At 38.9% G+C, this 20,070-nt stretch overlaps 1 protein-coding gene across 14 annotated transcripts in view, besides 1 other annotated feature; it reads left to right on the plus strand.

Annotated features, from left to right (window-relative positions):
* Window positions 1–20,070, plus strand: part of POLA1 (DNA polymerase alpha 1, catalytic subunit) — a 303,069-nt gene that overhangs the window by 66,149 nt on the left and 216,850 nt on the right. The gene's annotated exons all lie outside the window — the stretch shown is intronic.
* Window positions 5,090–5,590: an enhancer, noted in NCBI's record as "H3K27ac hESC enhancer chrX:24783273-24783773 (GRCh37/hg19 assembly coordinates)". NCBI's record gives its function as "activates a minimal SCP1, AML or CMV promoter by ChIP-STARR-seq in naive H9 embryonic stem cells {active_cell/tissue: H9 hESC(naive)}" and the evidence as "EXISTENCE:reporter gene assay evidence [ECO:0000049][PMID:30033119]".

The following is a 20,070-nucleotide window of genomic DNA, read 5'->3' on the forward strand; positions in this document are numbered from 1 at the left end:
GAAGTTATTAACCACTATTCACCAGTGGCATAGAAATCGGTATAAGGTTTAATTGTCTGGTTCTACAGTTGGTCTAGGTAGGCAATTTCCTGGATAGTGCTTCTCTTAAGGAAAGGGAAGAATAATCATATAACTTCACTTTTTTCTCCCATATAATTTTTTTTTCTTCTTTTCACAAATTGCAGATAGATGGATTGGAGAGAAAGGATCACTAGAAAACCAAAATATTGACCTCACAGGCTTTCCCTTTCCTCATCTGCCCAGGTATACATTTATGGGTGACATGGCAGCACTCAGCAACATTGCAAATTTCCCACCCCCCAAATGAATCACATGCTCAAGTGTTTGAATCTGATGGTGTACAGGATGTTACCACACTGTCTCCTTATGTTAGCCATGCTGAGTCTATTTATTGCTAATTGGAAAAACCTACTTTTGGCAGCCTCGGCTGCCTGGTGGCTTTAGCATACCCGTCACAACAGTATGGTCAGACCCATTAAAGACACATCCCTGTCAAATTTAGAAAACAAAACAAGCTCATTGGGCTTGTTATGGCTCAGGACCAGCTGACTGAGGGAAGACTAATAGAATTAGTACCTTCTGTTTGTGTGTTATCATTGCAGTGGGCAGCATGAGCCTGTGTCAATTTGCCAGATCATAAATACTGTGTTAAATTACAATGAACTGAGATTGGTAAGTTGTGGGAGTTTTGGAAGGCGGGGAGAAGAATAGTTTTATGTATGTGTGAAGAAGCCGTTTGATTTTCAGCCAGGGATTCCTGAGCCCTGTGGTCATGGTTTTAGAGATCTTAGACTTACTTTGAAATTTAGTACCAGAGTCAGGTTGTGCAGCTGTCCTTGTTTCCTTTTTATTGTTAATTTTGTGGTTGAATTGGCTTGTATCCCTTTTAAACTTGAATGTATGAGTCTCAACATTAAAATTTTTTCTTTGAAAATTCTGTTTTAAAAAGCAATATGAAATAGAATGTAGCTGAAAAGTGAATTTTTACTCACATTTTTAAAAGAGCAACAAAGCATGAGTGATTTCCAGAAATGGTTTCTGTGTCATCTTTGGAATTCTTCTAATTACTAATTCTTCTTTATAGGCTTGGGTTTGATTTTGTATTACCTGTTTTTATTGGCTTTGTTGTTTTACATTTGACAAAAGATTTGCTGTTTTGAGGCTAGTGATGAGATTGATTTATTTATTTTTTTATTTATTTTGCCTTAGGACTAAGAGTTGAGCGGAGATGGGAGTGGAACAAAGATATTAGGTTTCTTTTATGATTTGGAGTGTCAGACATTTGGCTATATTTGTTTCATGGGTTTTTCATCGCTGCTGACTTAACCACAGACGACATTTTCAGCCCTGTGCAGGAGGGTGGTGTGCCTTCTGCAGGCAGGGAGGAGGAGGGTTGGGGTGTGGTGGCTTAGAGAAAGGAATCAGCTCATGGGCTATTAATAATGTAAATTGTTCTTGAGGCCACATGTAACATTTCTGAGCCCTGACCAACAGGGTAGGGTGCGTGTTCTATTTACATTGGACTGCATGGCACGATGTGATGGATAGCTGATAATCACAGGAAAAATCCGGGTATTTCTTCTTTAATGATGTCCTGATAGGGCAGAAAAAAATAATTTGTCTTCAGAAGATTGGCTTAGAGTGGCTGAATATATTTAATTCAATTACTGGTTCTTGCCTCATAGCCAGGAATTCTTCAAGTGATATTTGCTGAGTGTGTACATGGAGGGAAATGGAGACAAATGACATTGCTTGTGACCCACTGCCTTGAGAGGAAAGCCTTCGGTAATGATTCCAGTAAAACTAGAGCTAGAGCTTGGGAAGCTAAACTTGTGATTACTTACTAGTAAACAAGAGAAAGGACCTGTTGTAGGTGCAAAAATCTTACTGAAATGCCTGAGTATGCACTGGAGAAAGCCCTGGACTGCACACCAGGGGTGCTCACCCACTTGTTTACTTTTTGTGGCTTTGAGCAAGTCATCCATTCTGCCTTTGGTTTTTCACTTGTCAGAGGGGTGCTAGATGATGATAATTACTGCTCAGTGGGCTTCAGTTACAAAGCACCTTAACATAGAGTAGCTATCTACTGTTGTTTCTCAGAACAACCCAGGGGAAGCATTCGTGCAAGGCTCCGAGTACCTAGCAAGTGTCAGGCATGCCACGTGGTGCTGCTGTTAGGGAGACAGTGGTAAACTTAAGCATTCAAGGACCTTGTCTTCATGGAGTGTTCAGTCCATTAGGTGAGAGCTGTTAATCAAATGGTCAATGAATAATTATGTCATTCTGAAAGAAAATAAGTGCTAAGAAAAGGCACATGAATTTCTGAGTCTTGATAGCAAAGGCCCTTGACCTGGACTGAAAAGTCAAAATTTTCCTGATCCTTTGGTACTTGAGCTGAGATCTAGAAAGTGTGGGCTGGAGTTAACTAGGTAAAGAGTTGGAAGAATAAGCATTCTAGAGTGAGGGCTAGCATGTGTAGAGGTCCTGTGGTGGTTGGAAGCATTATGTGGCCAGGGCACTGAGAAGGCTGAGGTAGCTGAAGTATAGAAAGGAAGGGGAGAGTGATAGGAGGCAAGGCTGGAGGGGTAATCAAGGTCACACCATATGGGCTTTGCAGGCCACGTTGACCAAGAGGCAGATGTTAATAGTTTTTTGGGTTTTTTTTTTTGAGGCAGAGTCTCGCTCTGTCGCCCAGGCTGGAGTACAGTGGCATGATCTTGGCTCACTACAATCTCTGCCTCCCGGGTTCAAGTGACTTTCCTGCCTCAGCCTCCCAAGTAGCTGGGACTACAGGTGTGCGCCACCACTCTTGGCTAATTTTTGTATTTTTAGTAGAGTTGGGGTTTCACCATGTTGGCCAGGCTGGTCTAGAACTCCTAACCTCAAATGATCCACCCACCTCAGCCTCCCGAAGTGCTGGGATTACAGGCATGAGCCACCACGCCCGGCCAGATGTTAATAGGTTTTATATGTTGGGGGAGATTGGCTCACATTTCCATTTTGAGAAGATCACTTTGCCTCAGTGAGTTGGAGGGGCCAGAGTGGATGAGGGGAAACTGATTAGCAGGCTATTATTAGAATAGAATTCCAGGCAAGTGATGGTGGTAGCTTGACTAGTGTGATGGCAGTCAGTGGAGGGAGGAGGACCCAGATATGAGAGAGATTTAAGAGAAAAAGTATCAGTAAAACTGGGTGGTATATTGGATGTGGGGCTTAGGATGGGGAAGGTATCAAGGTCAACTCTTGGCTGACTTGTGTAGGAAGATGGAGTACCTTTCACTGAGATGAAGAGCACTGGAAGATGACCAGGTTTGGGGCAGGAGGAGGGAAAGATGAACAGTTTGATCGTAGACATGTTAATTTTGAGGTTGCAGAATATAAACTGGGGAGTCATTGGTTTATAGTCATTGTTAAATGAAGCCATGGACATGGATGAGATTACTTTGGGAGAGAGGAGAGAGTGGAAAGAGAAGTGGGTGTAGGACTCAGTCTTAAGGAACCCCAGCATTTAATGACTTGGTAGAGGAGGACAGGCTTTAAAAAGTAGACCGTGAAAGAGCAGCCAGAGAATGAGAAGAGGTGGGAAAACATGGTGTTGTGAAACCAGTGAAGAGCATTTCAGGGAAGTAGTAGGCAACTGTCAGGAAGAGACACTGATGATAGTTTTGAAAAATTTCCATTGAATTTTGGGATATGGAGGTGATCTTTTACTTTAGTTGGTGCTGTTTGAGTGCAGTAATGGTGGTCAGACTGATTTGCTATAGGAAGATAATGTAATTATCCATAGTTTATAGATCAAGAATCTGAGGCACAAGGAAGTTACTTGTAAAACAGCTCACCTAAGTGTCAGAACTGGAATCCAGGCTCCCTGTTCTGTATACCTGCTACCTACAGCTTACTGCTTTACTAGGTGAGTGTGTGGACTGAAGAGGCAAACACAGCTGTGTCCCTGTTTTGCTTCTCCCTGAGTTGGGATCTATTAACTAGTTACTTAACCTCATTGACCCTCTGCTTCCTCATTTTTAATAATGGTAAATGCCCGGTGAGGTTGTTGGGAAAATTAAATGAGATAATGTGTGTTAATGCCTTGAAATGCGTTTGATACATAATAAGTACTCAGTTAATGCTAGCTAAAAAATAAACAACCTTCTACCGTTCTGTCTGCCCTCTCCTCAGAGCCTCTTACCTCCAATTACATTTTTCTCTTGTTTAATGCTTAGCAGTCTTCTCTAAAAAGGCCAGTTTGTATGCTATTTGCCCAGTTATTTTTCAAGTTTGTGTTTTTACTTTGCCATTTCTCCTGCTTTTAGTGCCTTTGTCCACCTACACCACTAATTTCTGTGTAGTGTAATTTCTGTCAGTCTTCCTCAAAACTCACTTTTTATGACTGATTTAAAACTGATTTTCTTCACTCTGCAACTTAATGAGCTCAGCTTATGTTTACATTTGTTTCTTCTTAGGAGCTTGATATTCATGAGTTTGCGAAGTTTGTTCACTCAGTTTTACTAAATAGATTCAGGGGCCAGGCATGTTTTTTCATGTCCTTCAGCAACATGTAGTAGAATGCTTTAAAGTAGTGGGTACAAAATGGCAAACAGTATTTTTATGCTATTTAAGAAATAGCTCTTTCCTGTCACTTTCTTCTCATTACAGTCGTAAGGTGCAGTTATTACTAAGTCCTGCCAGTGTTACTTCCAAAATATTCGGATTAATCCATTTCTCTCCATTGACACTGCCACTGCTCTGATTAGTTTAGACCACCATCATCTCTGGCCAGGATCACTGCATCAGCCTCCCTGTGGTGTCTCCCTTCTACTCTTGTCCCCCCCAATCTATTCTCAACCCTATATTTTTAAGGTGTAATTGCATCATATCATTCTGCTTTGATTCCTCATTGACTTCCTATTTCAGTTTACCTTGGACTCCAAGGTCCTACGTGGATCACTTCACCTCTCCTTTTACCTCATTTTTGTGCCTCCTACCTGCTGCTCCCTCACCTGCACCCCTGCTTTAGTCCAGCCACATGGGCTACCCTGTTCTTTCAGTTCTTCACACACATGAATTCTGTCCCTCCATAGGGACCTTGTGCATCTGGTTTCCTCTGCCTGGAATGCTCCTTCCCAGGCTTGGTGCAGGGTTGTATTTTTCTCTCTTCAGGTCTCAGCTTATATGTCACCTTCTTGTGTGTGCGTGGTGTTTTTTTTGTTTTTTTTTTTGTTTTTTTTTTTGAGACAGAGTCTTGCTCTATTGCCCAGGCTGAAGTGCAGTGGTGCTCTTGGCTCACTGCAACCTCCACCTCCTGGGTTCAAGCATTTCTTGTGCCTCAGCCTCCTGAGTAGCTGGGATTACAGGCACGCACCACCACACCCAGCTAATTTTTGTATTTTTTGTAGAGACAGGGTTTCGCCGTGGTTGGCCGTGCTGGTCTTGAACTCCTGACCTCAGGTTATCTACCTGCCTTGGCCTCCCAAAGTGCTGGAATTACAGGCGTGAGCCACTGCGCCTGGCCTTATGCCACCTTCTTGATGAGACCTTTCCTGACTACTCTTTCTAAATAGATCCATCCAGCACACCGCCATCTCTCATTTTTAAATAAAAAATTTTTTCTCACTAATTTTATAGGGTGAAATATACCCATGTGCCAATTTTCCAGAATTAATACATGTTAAGATTTTGTCATAATTATTTCAGATTTTAAGTAAAAGAGAGCATTACAGATAGTTGAGGTTGGTAATGTGTGCCCTTCCCCAGTTTCCTCCTTTCCTCTCCAGAGGCAACTGTTATGAAGCTGATATGTATCTTTCCTTTTTCCATGTTTTTGTTACCTATGAATGTGCTCACTTAATTTATGTGGATGGTATCTTATCATTTTTCAGTTTGCAACTTTTTTCACTCAACATTATATTTTTGAGTGATATCCATGTTGATGTATACATATCTGATCACTTATTTGAACTGCTGTATAGTATTCCATCATACAAATATTCTACAGTGTATTTTTCCCTTTCTCAAGTGATGGTCATTTAGATTGTCGTCAGTGTTTTACTGTTATGAAAAGTAAGCATTCCTCTACTTGTCTATTTGTACACAGGTGCAAGAGTTTCTCTGTCATGATCTTTTCTAGCTCAACACCCTGTTTCATTCCCATTTTGGCACTCATCATTTTGTAATCACTGACTTATGTGTTTGCTTGTTTATATACATCTTCCTTATTCAGCTGTGAGCTCCATTGGGGTAGGCAGTGTGTTTAACTCACTCCTGCAAACACAGCCCCTAGCATAGACCTTGACACATAGTAGGTGCTTCGTTGGTATTTGTTGAATTAAGTCAGCTACCTGCTTTCCATCTGTTTTGTGTAGTTCATTCCTTTGGTTTTTGAGCTTTGGTTTTCAGATTTCTGAAGAAAGGTGAAGACTGATGAGGTGAGTTGCCAAATTCTATGGATAGTGATTATAGGTGATTAGGTAAACCTGGCATGGGAAGGAGCTGAGGAAAAAAAGCTATAAATAATTTGTTTTGGTTTAAACAAACCAAAATCTCAAAATTTGGAGATGATGGTTGGCAAGGAACTATGTGTACTAGTTTTGGTTATTGAAGGAGCTGGGTTTATCAGCTGTGGGCTCCTTCCACATCTGTATCATTGCCTTATTATTATAGGATTTTGGAGAGGGGTGGGAGGATTTTGTGTTTATTTTCTAAAATTATTCTATGTGAAAATTAGAAAATTAGAATTATGGTAGGTGTAGGAGATATGGATCGTAGATTAAAAAGCATGAGAAGAAATTGGGCTGTTGATCTTAAAGCAAGATTGTTTAAATCAATTAGTTTTTTAAAATTCTCCTTTTTATTAGAGTTCACTGAATCAGTGCATGTGTTCTGTGTTTTCTGTTTGCTTTTGAAGCTGTTCAGTGTTTTCCTTACCATCATAGACTTCAGATTTAACTACTTGATGTTCACCTACTGAATTCACATGTAGAGAGGAAAGACGAATTCACGGGAACAAACGGATTTCTTAAAATGGAGATTGCTGCTATAATCACACTTTGGACCTCTATTCTAGTACAGGACATCTCATTTTATCCACTAGTAGCCTGTGTAAGCCATTTGCTGATAAATTGAATCACTGTAATTATATTTGAAGTTAGCTATTGGAGGAAAAAATGTAGCTATAGTTAAATACTATGGTAATGCCTCCTAATTTATTCTTTTTCATTTTGGAGTATACTGTTTCTCCCCTCCTCCACTCAGTTTAGTGTGGCACATTTGACTGCCCGCCCCCCTTAGGTTGGGTATCAGTTATGAACTTCCAGAGAGAATTAGGATCTGGTCTCACTGTCTCCTTTGCATGTAAATAGTAAATAATTAGACATGCAGTTAAATTGGAGACAATAATAGCTGAGATATATTAAGCATATGATCCTGTTAGACACTGTTCTAAGCACTTTATATGAATAGTAAACATATAAGCACAGTCCAAAAAATTTTTTTCTAACTGTATAAAATGTAGGAGTCATGTTATTTTGAGGTTTATGAGAAATTGTAATCTTCAATTTCTAGTTAGTGGAGGTGGGCGTGGAGGAGAAAATGTTTGCATTTATTACATGTGTAGAAATGTACTGAACTGAGAAAATCTAAATGGTTACAGGCTAGTCATTTCTTAGTATCCTGCCTATTACTCATCCACTCCCTTGGTAAAAGCTTTACCCTGTTCCTATAAGTGGGAGCTGGGTGGAGGATGGGAAGCAATCCTCAATTGAGTTAGATCTGACTTTGCTTGATTGTGTGGCAAGTTAGTATGGGGTTTTATGTCATTATTTTATTTCCCTTTTATAGTTGAGAGAACTGAAGTACAGAAAGTATAAGTAACTTGCTCAAGATCACAGAGCTAGTGAATAAATGGAGCCATAATTCAAATCTAGGCAGTCCAAGCATTCTTAACTGCCACAGTACATTGCCTGTGTTTTTGAGTATTTGCCTGTGCAACAGGCATTAGGAGATGGGAGAAAATAGTGTTGTATCTTCACAGTACTTGGAGCCATTTTTGTTTGAAAGGATGTGTACTGTATTAGTGTGTGTCATCCTGGGTTGGTTAGCATTTGCTGCCACTTTATAGATTTTCTGAGAGCTTCAATTTTCCTTTTATATTTCCTCAGTCTTTTGACAGCAGTCATAATGGAATTTGAATGGTCATAGTTAATGTGGCCTTTGGAACAGAATTCTTAAGGAAGAGGATTGGGTGATGAAGCAAGGGTGGTAAGATGGGGAATGAGGAGGAATTCTTTCTGTCGTATGTATTTTGTGGAATAAAATAGTGATGCCATGCACCACAGCTCAAACTTGGCATGGTTCTGGAAGATGTCTTTGTGTAGCCTGTCTGTACCACTCACCATCTGTTATAATGGTGAAGGTCATAGGTTGTTTGCCTTAAGCAGAATAAACAAATAGATACAGAAAATGTATTCAGTAATCTTTGCTTGATGAGCAGAAGCTAGCAGTTGTTTAAAACAAGTGAAGGGGATAAAAACTCCCCTAACTTTTATTTACCAATCACATCGCAAAGCAAAAATAGCCTATTTTTAGGCTGAGGCTCCAATTATGTTAAGCCTTGAAGATAATGAAACAGTCTGACACAAAAGAGTGTGGTGACGCAAGTTTGTGTGGTGAAATTCCAAGACACTCACTGACTTTTTAGGATTCTGCACGGTGAATATTAAGCTCCTAAAGTGTTTGTTGCCCGGAAACAGCGCTTTATTCTTTTACATGCAGTGTAATGAAGTGAACCTGTGTTGTAATTTGTTTCTTGCAAGGAAAAGGGAGAATTAACACACATTATCTATCTTTGTGTCCTGTCTTTGGCCTCTTGTGTGTCCCTTTTATGTGCTGAAGCCACCAAGTCATGCTATTGCTAATACTGCATATTACCTTCTGTTTTAGCCACTCTAATTTTTCTTAATGCTTTACACAGTAGGGGTTTCCAGTTTTTCAACTAATTTTGTATTGTAGATTTCACCGAATTTGGAGGGTTTTTCTTTTCTGTCACTTTTTCCTCATTCTATGTAAGAATTACTCTTAGCTTTTGGACCCGTTCATAATCATGTCAGGTGATGTTTTTCCTTGGAACTAATTAGTTTCGGGGGTTTGAAATATGTGCTGGCACGGGGTTTCATTGGCTGGATTAATGGAAGTTGGCCATTTGTGCTCTCCCGGTCTCATGTTGCCCTTTCTATTTACAGGTTGGTAATGGGCTTCTGGGTTTTTATTCTGCTGCCTGTAGTCTTCTTGAAAATGAACCTGAGGTGCTGAATTCTCATGTGATGGGAAGTGTAATGCTTCCTTCCAGGGCAGCCTGTCTTCTTAATTCCTGAATCTTGCTATAGCCTAGGTCCCAAGGAATCAGATTCCTAGAGTCAGGAGGTTGGTCATCTTCCATTTGGTCTCAGAATTTTCCTTTCCAAAGAGTAGTCATAAGAACTAAATGTGGGAAGGCAGAAGGAAAGACCTATCAACATCAAGGTGCCAAAGTTACAAGCCTCTGGCATTGGTGGTTCATGGCAGGATTTGATGAAGTTGGGGAGGGAAGGGGACTTGAAGGGGATAAATGAACTCCTCATTAGATTCAGATTGAAGTGCACTGATGTGACCTGTGGAAGAGCTGAAAACATAAAATAGCACTCAGGTGATTGATAAAGACAGCCTGGTTGGATGAAGTGGAAGCTAGGAAATCTCTGGCTGGGTGCCTGCTATCCACGTACAGTACTTACTCTATTTCATTTAATCTCCTGCAGCCCTGCGGGTGGGGGCTCTTATTTCTTTTTACAAATGAGGAAAAAGTCTTGAAGGGATTAAGTAAATTGCCAAGGCCTCTTTATTTGTAAGTGGCTAAAATGAATATGGCTTCTCACATTTGTGCCACTCTTCTGAAATACAGGAAACACAGACATCAACAGTATTTATCTTTGTATGCTTACTAAGGAAAATACTGTGTGGTACAACCACTGAAAAGGCTATAATAGCTTTTTTGTTATTGCACTTTAACAGAGAGCTCTTTCTTAAAATTACAGATTTTTAGGACCAAATTCAGTTCAGTCGTCTGGCCTACTATGTGCCAGGTACAGTATTGAATCCTGGGGATATGAAGGTGAGACAGACCATGGTCCCTGGTCCCTGATTATAGTCTGAGTTGGGAGTAGAGGTGGAGGGAAAGGAAAGAAATTGCCCTGTGAACAAATTCCATGCCATATGACTAAGGTAAATTTAAAGAAAAAAGGAAAGGTAAACATTGCCTAGAGATTACAGAATGATGCCCATGCCCACAGAATATCTCTTACTGTGAGATCCATTGATTCTTTGGTCATTGCCAGGATTTGTCCAGAGAGGTACGGGATGTCGTCTTTACAGGGTGAAGCCCAAGAGGAACCATATTATGTTACAAACTTGGGGGCTTTTCTTTTCTAGCTAGAGGTCTAAACTCAGGAGGGTAACCAAGTTTTTTGTTTTGTTTTGTTTTTGGTACACAAAGAATCTTCTGTTTCTACATCCAGTAAACTTTTTGTTTTCTTAATTTTAAATTGTCCTCAGGCTGTACCTTTCCTTACCCCCATCTCTGACCAAGAAGGGTGGCAGGGAAGGGGGGTTCTAATTCCAACTCAGCTACTAATTTAGGAGGTGACCGATAACCTCTACAGTTCCATCTGTCATAGTGCCTTTCACATAACTGGTACTCAATAATAAGTGTTTGCCATGGGACAACAGAACTTGAAATCTTCTGTGATTAATTTGTATTGATTTTTGGGGGGCAGGAACTGGAAGGGGGTTAGTTTTTTTTAGGATGAAAAGTTGCTGCCTCACATTCCATAACAGTAACACAAATTATGGATAAATCATTAAGTATAAATCACAACTCAAGATAAGTGAAAAAAATTTTCAAATATTGAAGAGTTCTTTTATAAATTCCATCTCCTAGTGAGATGCATTACATCTCAGCCCAGAATGCTGAAGGTTCTTGTGATTCCTAGCACAGTGCCTCATCTTTGGTGTATGATCAGTGAAGAATAATACAATTATGAAATGACTACTAGTAATCTCTGAGGACTTCTGAGGATAACAGGTGTTCTGAAGTTTGCCAAACTTGGAGACCACCTTCCCTTCCTAGAACAGATTTCTAGGAAAAGTCTTCAGGTCTTTTTGATCACAATACGATAGGAATTGTAGGGAGGACATGAAGAAACAAAAGATCAGTCAGAATGTTTCACACACTCTCAATTCTCTAATAAACACAGTACTAAGCAGTACCTAGACATTGCTCTTTGCCTGAAGGTGGGATTCTTTAGTACCTCATACAGTAAAAGATGGTGAACCTTTCAGTGCTTTTTTTCAGGGCAAAAACAGCAGGGTCATCGAGTCATAACTCTTGTAATCTGGGATGCAAGTTATGTAACCATGTCAGGATTTTCTTGAGGGTTTCTGTCCAGAAGATGGAAGACAAGGAGTGTTGGTTGTTTTCTAAACAGTGAACTCTAGAAATTTGTAGATGAATGAACTATACAATACAATTCTAGAGAAAACTGCTAAGCAATTTTTCAGCACTTTATGGCAGTCACCAAGGATCATTATTGGCTCACCCAGAACAGGTACTGTTGGTATTTTTTTTCTTTTAGTCTTAATATTAGGCTTAAATTAGCACATGAAAGTGCTAGTTTTAAAAGTTAAAAGCAGTTGAATATCAACAGTTTCATGTGATTCATCCTAATGGTTTTTATTATTTTTTTCTGGTTATAAAATTAATACATGTTCATTGTAGCACACTTAGAAAAATAGAGGAAAATAAAATTACAGTCTAACAATCTATTTTATGCACTTCCATCTTTCCATGCATATACATATGCACACGTATAAATCTGTTCACCAGAATATTTTCAAAAAACTTACTGTGGATTATAGTTCATTTTTAGAGACTATCTGGCTGTTTAAATTGAACCTATCATAAACATTTCTCTGTAATTAGTAATTTATAAACTAAATTTTTATGATTTCAGGAGATAGATGTCACGTAATTTATTTATCAATACCCCTATTTTAGGACTTTTCGTATTGTTTTCAGTGTTTTACAATTATAAATAAATAGTGCTGCAATAAACATCTTCTACATGAATCCTGGTCCACATCTGATTATTTCCTTAAAATGAGTTATCAAAAGAGGTATTTTCAGGTTAAAAGATGTGAATTCTGAAAACATATTTCTAAATTTCTTACCATAAAGGATATACTAATTTCTTTTTTTTAATCTTTTATTGTTACTTTTTTATTTAACTTTAATTTTAAGTTCATGAGTACATGTGCAGGTTTGTTATACAGGTAAACTTGTGTCATGGGGGTTTGTTGTATACATTATTTTGTCATCCAGGGATTAAGCCTAATACTTATCAGTTATTTTTCCTGATCCTCTCCGTCCTCCAAGCCTCCACCCTCCGAGAGGCCCCAGTGTGTGTTGTTCCCCTCCGTCTGTTCATGTGTTCTCATCATTTAGCTACCACTTATAAGTGAGAACACACGGTATTTGGTTTTCTGTTACTCTGTTAGTTTGCTAGGGATAATGGCCTCCAGCTCCATCCATGTTCCTGCAATGGACATGATCTCATTCTTTTTTATGGCTGTAAATTAGTTCAACCGTTGTGGAAGAGAGTGTGGTGCTTCCTCAAAGACCTAAAAACAACTACTATTTGACCCAGCAGTCCCATTACTGGATATATACCAAAAGGAATATAAATTGTGATATTATAAAGACATGCATGTGTCTGTTCATTGCAGCACTATTCACAATAGCAAAGACATAGAATCAACCTAAATGCCCATCAGTGGTAGACTGGATAAAGAAAATGGGGGTACGTACATGATAGATATACTCATTTCTGCTTTTACTAGCAATGTGTGAAAGAACCTCCCTGATAAAACATCGCCACAGTTAGCTGTTACTTCTAAGACCAAGAGAAAAAACAGGATTGACCAATTTTGTTTTTCCACCTTTGATAAGTTTACTAAACAAAGATATATAATTTGGTTTTATCGAAGGACCTGACGAAGTTTTTCATGATATCTTTGTTGTCCAATCAAACAATGTGAACTGAATGCAGATAGAATCAGGGATCTCTTGTTTGCAGAACAACTATACTCTGGAAAGGTTTTATTAGTGGGTTATTGTCAACTGGGAGGGACACCTTGTGTGGTGAGGCTTAGTGACCCTGTCCTGAACAATGTTATTTACAGTGATTTTGATGAAAACAGAACATGAGCTTAACAGGTTTCCAGGTATGCCACAAAGTGAGAAGGATGGCTATAAGTTCTTCTGTACCATACTGTGGGCTCCCTGAGCAAGGGAGCTGGAGTGCTGAGAGCATTCCTTCTGGAGTCAAACTGCTACCTATTAGCTGTGTGGCTTTGGGCAGAGTTACCTAACCTTTCTGTGTCTTAGTTTCCTCATCTATAATAAAACAGGAATCAACAGAATATTTACCTCATGACGTTTGTTGGGAAGATTAAATAAGTTATTAAATGTGAAGCACTGAGAGTAGTTTCTGGTCCTTAGTAAGTGATCAATAAAGATGAGCTGCTATTGTTAATCTTTCTCTCAGATGGTAGATAACACTTCTTAAATGAATGCCTGAGTCAGTGTCATAAATGCTTTGTATGCTGGTGGGATGGGTCCATATTGCAAATGAAATGTGATGTGTAAGTTTTGCATTTATGTTTTATAATATTAGAACCGTCATGTAAAGATAGGGCTGAGAGTTATACTGTGTAGCTCCAGAAGGTAGAGATACGGTTTATTGATAGGAATTAGTGATAAGATACTTTCTACCAATTAGCTCTACTCAATAGTGGAGTTGCCCTTTCAGGTAGTGGAAGAATTCAGGTACAAGCTTCCAGACCATTACAAGTACATAATTGAAAAGAGAGGGCTTCTTTGGCTAGAGGTGAGACTAGATGACCTCTAAAGTCCCTTCCAACTCTAGGCTGATTCTGTGATTTTGAGTGGCATATGTAGGATTATCACATATCATGCAATAAGGCCCCACGAGTACATCTTTGGAAGGGTTGATGCTGCTAATCCTTGCCCACTCTGCCCTCTCTGCTTCAGTTTCTTTCACCTGTTGTGTGTCAGCCTGACAGTGGCCCATTCCTCAGCTTGATTCAGTTTTACAGCCCAGCTTAGTGTCCCAGGCTGCTCCCTCCTCAGCAGCAATGCCTAGAGGATGAGTATATGAACCAAGGGCACATTTTTCATAAGCATACAAGAAAATAGAAGATTGTTGCCTGCAAAGTGTATCTCAGAATTGTATTTTAAAAAAACAAGCAACAGTTTTGACCATGCCAGATGTACTCTTGTCGCTTTATTCGGGGCCAAGGGTGGACTTTACCTTTTTTGCTCAGCAGCTCTGGGCACTGGGTTTCTCTGCTTGTCTGGTTTCTTGCCTAAGTTCAGCATCAATATTCTAATCCCCTGGGAAGGAGCAGTTGAGCCCACACTGTTGTATATACTATGTGGGCTTGTATACCTTTGGCTGAGATTATTTTTCTGTCATGAACTCTGATTCCTTGCCTTATGCTATTTAAAGGTAGCTTCAAAATAAAGTTAGAAAGCTGAATTGGGAGCCCAACCAATTGCTTTTTCTTTTCAGGGTTCTTTGCTGAATAATTTCTGACACATCAATTGTGTAATTGTTTTGTGCTGCTCTCCCCATTTATAATATTTGGAGCATTGGCTTTTTGCCACACTTGTCAAGGGTTTATGGGAGTTAGTGACACGTAGTATACAAGGTTCTTTGAGATTCTTTCATGAAACTTGGTATTATCTTGAAAGCAAAAGGTTTAACTGTTCATTTGTTAGATGACTAGTGGGATTTTAAACAGATATAATCACACCATGTCTTTTTTTTAAATGTGATGTTACGTACATATGAACTTTTACTGCTCAAATTTTAAATTATGTGTTTTTTTTTCTTTTTTGTGTTTATAAAATCCATTATTAGCAAATACCTCAGGAAAACTTTAGAGTGAAAGTCCTGAAAAAATTTTCCACTCCATGTTTTTTAATGTTGTGGTTTGTCCTTAGTTTTGCCATCTGGTAATGAATGGTTGAAGTGATAAACTCCTGGCACCACCGCATTTTGCTGTTGATACTAGTGTGTGTCTATAGCTTGTGGTACAGAAGCACTAAGTGAGGTCCATGCTGTACAGTGAGAAGCCGAAAGAGTTGCTGCTCTGTGTGCCAGGTGGGTTAATATGTTTTAGAGAAAGCATCTGTGGAATTTTACAGTGGATGTTCTTTTGTAGCCGTATTAATTTTACTCCTTTTGAGTAGTATCATTTTACCAGCCAGAATCTAGAGCACGCACATGCATTATCAGAGTGATTTGAAACAGTGGTGTACACACGAGCACTGTGGGGATGGTTCTGATGCTTTCAAGGCCTAGAGTCTCACTGCATATATTCTGAGCCAGAGTGTTAATCCTACTGCCTTAAGAAGCCTTTGCTTCTCCTTTTAGTCTTTAGAGTTTATGAAACCAACAGCTTTGTAGTCTTCAATAGGAGGATTGTACATAGAGCTCTAAAGATTCTTGGAACATAGAAACCATAAAGAGGAACGTGTCTGTGTTTACTCTTGTGTTGTGTTATATGCACAGTGTAGAACTTTTTAAAATTGAAACAACAGAGGTAGATGATATTTTAAAAGATTACTAAACATTAGATTTTTAGACTCATCTCATTTAGGCTGAAAGGAACCTTCTAGTCCAGCCCCCTCATTTTACAGATGAAAAAATATAAGTCCATAAGGTCCCACTGAGCCTGAATCAGGGTTGATGTAAAACCTAGAGGTCTTCCTTCCCAAGCCAGATCTGGTTGGATCTCACCGCTCTTGTAACTGCTATAGAACACCACTGTAGCATTTAGAAAGTACTGAATCATTATGTAAGAAAATGACTCTCTCAGTAAAACAGTGTAGTTGTTGAGTCCATAGTCCAAGCAGGTTTTATCGTTTGTATTAAGTAACTTCAGCTGTTCCATAGTCTTCAGAAAGTCTGAGCTGACTATATTTATTTTATCCACCTTTTACCCAGTTAACAGAATGCTTACTCTCTTATTGCCACTTAAAAGTCATCTGGAAGACTCATGCTGATAATGTAATGCATGGTGAAGGAAGGGGGTAAAGTAGGAAAACATAATTATTGCATGCACGGTCTTTTTAAAGGCTCTTTTCTCCTCTTTTTCCCAGTTTAGTTGGGTAGATCTGATTTATATAGCATTTTCCCCCCTTTTCCTAAATTGGATAAGAGCTGGAAGACTATTCAGGAAAAGCTATAAGCTATAGCAAAGCGTGTGAAAAGACAGTAGTTTGTGCCTTTCTCAACCTTGTTATAGATCTGTGGATAGTTTGGAGTTTACAAAACTGTACTTAAATATTTTCTTTAATATAGGTTAGGGACAGATTTCTATTTGCTATTGATGACTGTCAAAACAACTTCCCTAGAATGATTGTCACAGAGCATGGGGCCTCATTTTCTGATGGAGAAACTGCTTTGGTTTATTCTCACTGTTTTTACATGATTATTTCTTATTTTCTCAAGTGCTTATGACATTTAAAAAATCTGTGGTTGAGAATTGTGGCAGCCAGTATTATGAGAAAGAGAAACTAGGTGCCTGTAAACTATTTAAATACAAACAAATGATAGCAAAACTTAACCAGGAAGAACATGAGTTTGAAATTGTTGATGAACGTGATCTAGGCCTAAGACAAGCTGAAACTGTATTTCTCATTCATTCTTTCTTAACCAGAATTGCTTTACCTTCAAACTCAAGCAAATCTTTTGTTTAATCCTTGAGAATTGATACTTCAGAGGATTTCTTTATTTCAGTTATTGATGGACATTATTCTTAGGATTCAGTACTGGGTCAAGATGTGTGTTTTTTCAGCAATGTTTGACTGAATCCCAAGCTTTCTCAAGGCATATTTAAAAACCAGTACTGGTAATAGGCAGACTTACATACAGTTTTATCAGTTTATCTCTGCTTTTTTGAGGGAGAGGGAGTTTCAGCTAAGTTGGGTTTGTGCTCGTGAAATACAATACAAAAAGATTTGACCAAATAACTTTCTAATCATCCTTGCTGTATGTATATTTTGGTAAAATCCTGCTCACAGGGAAAATGTCTTGTTAATTTTTGGTTACACTAAAGACATTCTGAGCAACTAACTTTGGTGTGTAGGGCTAAAATTACTTGAAATGCTGAGATTGTATTGTTTTGGGAAGAACTTAAGTAGCATTCTATTTGTGTTAAATGTTCTTGTTAAGGCAATGGAAAAGATATTAGTTGAATATATTTTTTCAAATTAACTTTTTTGTCTTTGTGTTTTTATTTTAAAAAGCTTATTGTATTGTCTTGTATTAAAAAAACACATAATGGAAAATTTACCATCTTAACCATTTTTAAGTGTGCAGGTGCACACAACACAGGTGCACTACGCAATTCACTGCCAGTTACAGTAGAGTAAGAAGTAGATATTTGCCTTTGGGGATCTTGGGAAGAAGACTGCTATCTATCTCTAATCCTCATGGAATCCTTAAGTGGTAGGTGCCAAGGGCTAAGGTGAGGGGGGAGAGGTGGAGGGAGTTGTTTAATGGGTACAGAGTTGAGCTCCTTTCTCTATAAAGCATTTAAGCTTTTTTGTTGCCATTAATTGCTTCTATGGGCTAAAGAAACTGAAAGTGTGGGCAGGTAATCACTTGGCTACTAATATAAAGAGGAAGTGAAACAAAGGACTGGCTTAATGGTTCAGGGTGGAAAGTATACACAGTTAAAAGTAATGTTATATGGTCTTGTAAATAGTTGTGCATATATCCGATGTCAATAAGAATTAGTAATACCAAGTTAAAAGAAAAGCATTATTTTAATATTTGTATACCTTTTGGAAATGAAAGATGGGATTATTTAAAGAGCAAAAAACTAAAGATGTTCTAGTTGGTAAGTGACTTTATTTGATGTGATTTGTTATTCGGATTTACCTGTGATTAGAGTGGTCATATATTCTTAATAGTTTCTTCCTTTTTGTGAGACAAGGTAAGAGCAGCTTGGCATCTAAGTTTTGGATAATGTGTTGCTACTTGATTTTTTTTTTCCCCAAGATGGAGTCTTGCTCTGGAGTGCAGTGGCACGATCTCGGCTCACTGCACCCTCCACCTCCCAGGTTCAAGCGATTCTTCTGCCTCAGCCTCCTGAGTAGCTGGGACTACAGGCGCCCGCCACCACACCTGGCTAATTTTTGTATTTTTAGTAGAGACGGGGTTTCACCATGTTGGCCAGGCTGGTCTTGAACTCCTCACCTCAAGTGATCTGCCCGCCTTGGTCTCCCAAAGTGATGGGATTACAGGCGTGAGCTGCTTGCTTTTGAGAGGCATCCTAAACATGTTGGATGGCCTACCCTTATTTTCTGAACTAAAATATGTTAAAATTAATTTGGTTTTGAGAACTTTTGAAAAATCATCTGACTTTAATCTAGCTAATATGAGTTTTTTTCCCTATGCTCTGGGCACTATCCTAAGTATTTTACATACATTACTTAATCCTCATAGAAACCCTGTGATATTATTTTTCCTTTTTTACAGAAGAGGAAAGCAGCTATAGAGAGGTTAAATTGCTCACTTAAGGTCATAGATGTAACGATGGAATTAGGATTTGAACCCAGGTGGTTGGCTGTGGGTTGACATTTATCATTTTAACTGCTTTGTGATGTTACTCCATACTGAGCATGTAAATGTTCTTGGCACTCAGCACATTGTAGGATTTAAACAAATAACATTTATATCTGTTGAGCTTCTTAGAATGACTGGAGATGAAGTAGTCTGCTATAAAAATAAGATAGGAAGCCATTGTACTGGACACTACTGATTTAGCTAATTGATTTCAATCCAGGAACTGATTAGACATTTCTTTCTTTCTTTCTTTCTTTTTTTTTTTGAGATGGAGTCTCACTCTTATCACCCAGGCTGGAGTGCAGTGGCGCCATCTCGGCTCACTGCAACCTCTGCCTCCCGGGTTCAAGCAATTCTCCTGCCTCAGCTTCCTGAGTATTTAGGATTACAGGTGCCCACCATCACACCCAGCTAATTTTTATATTTTTAGTAGAGACGGGGTTTCACCACCTTGGCCAGGCTGGTCTCGAGCTCCTGACCTTGTGATCCACCTGCCTCAGCCTCCTAAAGTGCTGGGATTACAGGCGTGGGCCACCGCGCCCGGCCTAGACATTGATTTCTAACCTTGAGGTCCATGTGTGAGTTCCAAGAGAAACTAAAGAATGACCTCAGACAATCATTTAGCAAATGATATTGTTTTGTTCATGTAGTATGGCTTTTGTCCTCTGCTTTTATACTTGTACAATAATAGAATTTAAGAACTGGTCCTGACTTGGTCTAGGTAGTCAAATTCAACCTCTGCATTTTACCATTTGAGGAAACAGGTAAAAGAACCTTCTTAAGGTCACTAAAAAAGGAAGTGCCAGAGCCAGGATTTAATGCATAATAGCTCACACTGACCTAGTTTTACCATGAGCCAGGCAGTGTTCTAGAGGCTTTATATATGTTAACTCATTAACTCCTCAGAACAAGCCTATGAAACAGATACTGCTATATACCCACGTTACAGCTGAGAAAACTGAGGTTATGTAACATACACAAAGTCACACAACTAGTAATGAGTAGAGCCAGGATGCAAATCCAGTCATTTTGGCTCCAGTTTGTCTCCAAACCCTCCTCATGGTTGTAACATATATAATTGCCATCTTTTTTTAAGAGCAAAAATGGTTGAATATCAGCCATTTCTTATAGTTCAATCTGACATAGCTTGAGCTCTTTCTATGGCATTTCAGTACCTTACCACAATGCGTATTTGTGGTTATTATTATATCCCACTTGATCTTGGTATATGATCCTTTTAATGTGCTGTTGAATTTGGTTTGTTAGTATTTTATTGAGGATTTTTATATCTATGTTCATCAGGAGT

This window comes from Homo sapiens, chromosome X (genome assembly GCF_000001405.40).
Source record: "Homo sapiens chromosome X, GRCh38.p14 Primary Assembly".
NCBI classification, from domain to species: Eukaryota; Metazoa; Chordata; class Mammalia; order Primates; family Hominidae; genus Homo; species Homo sapiens.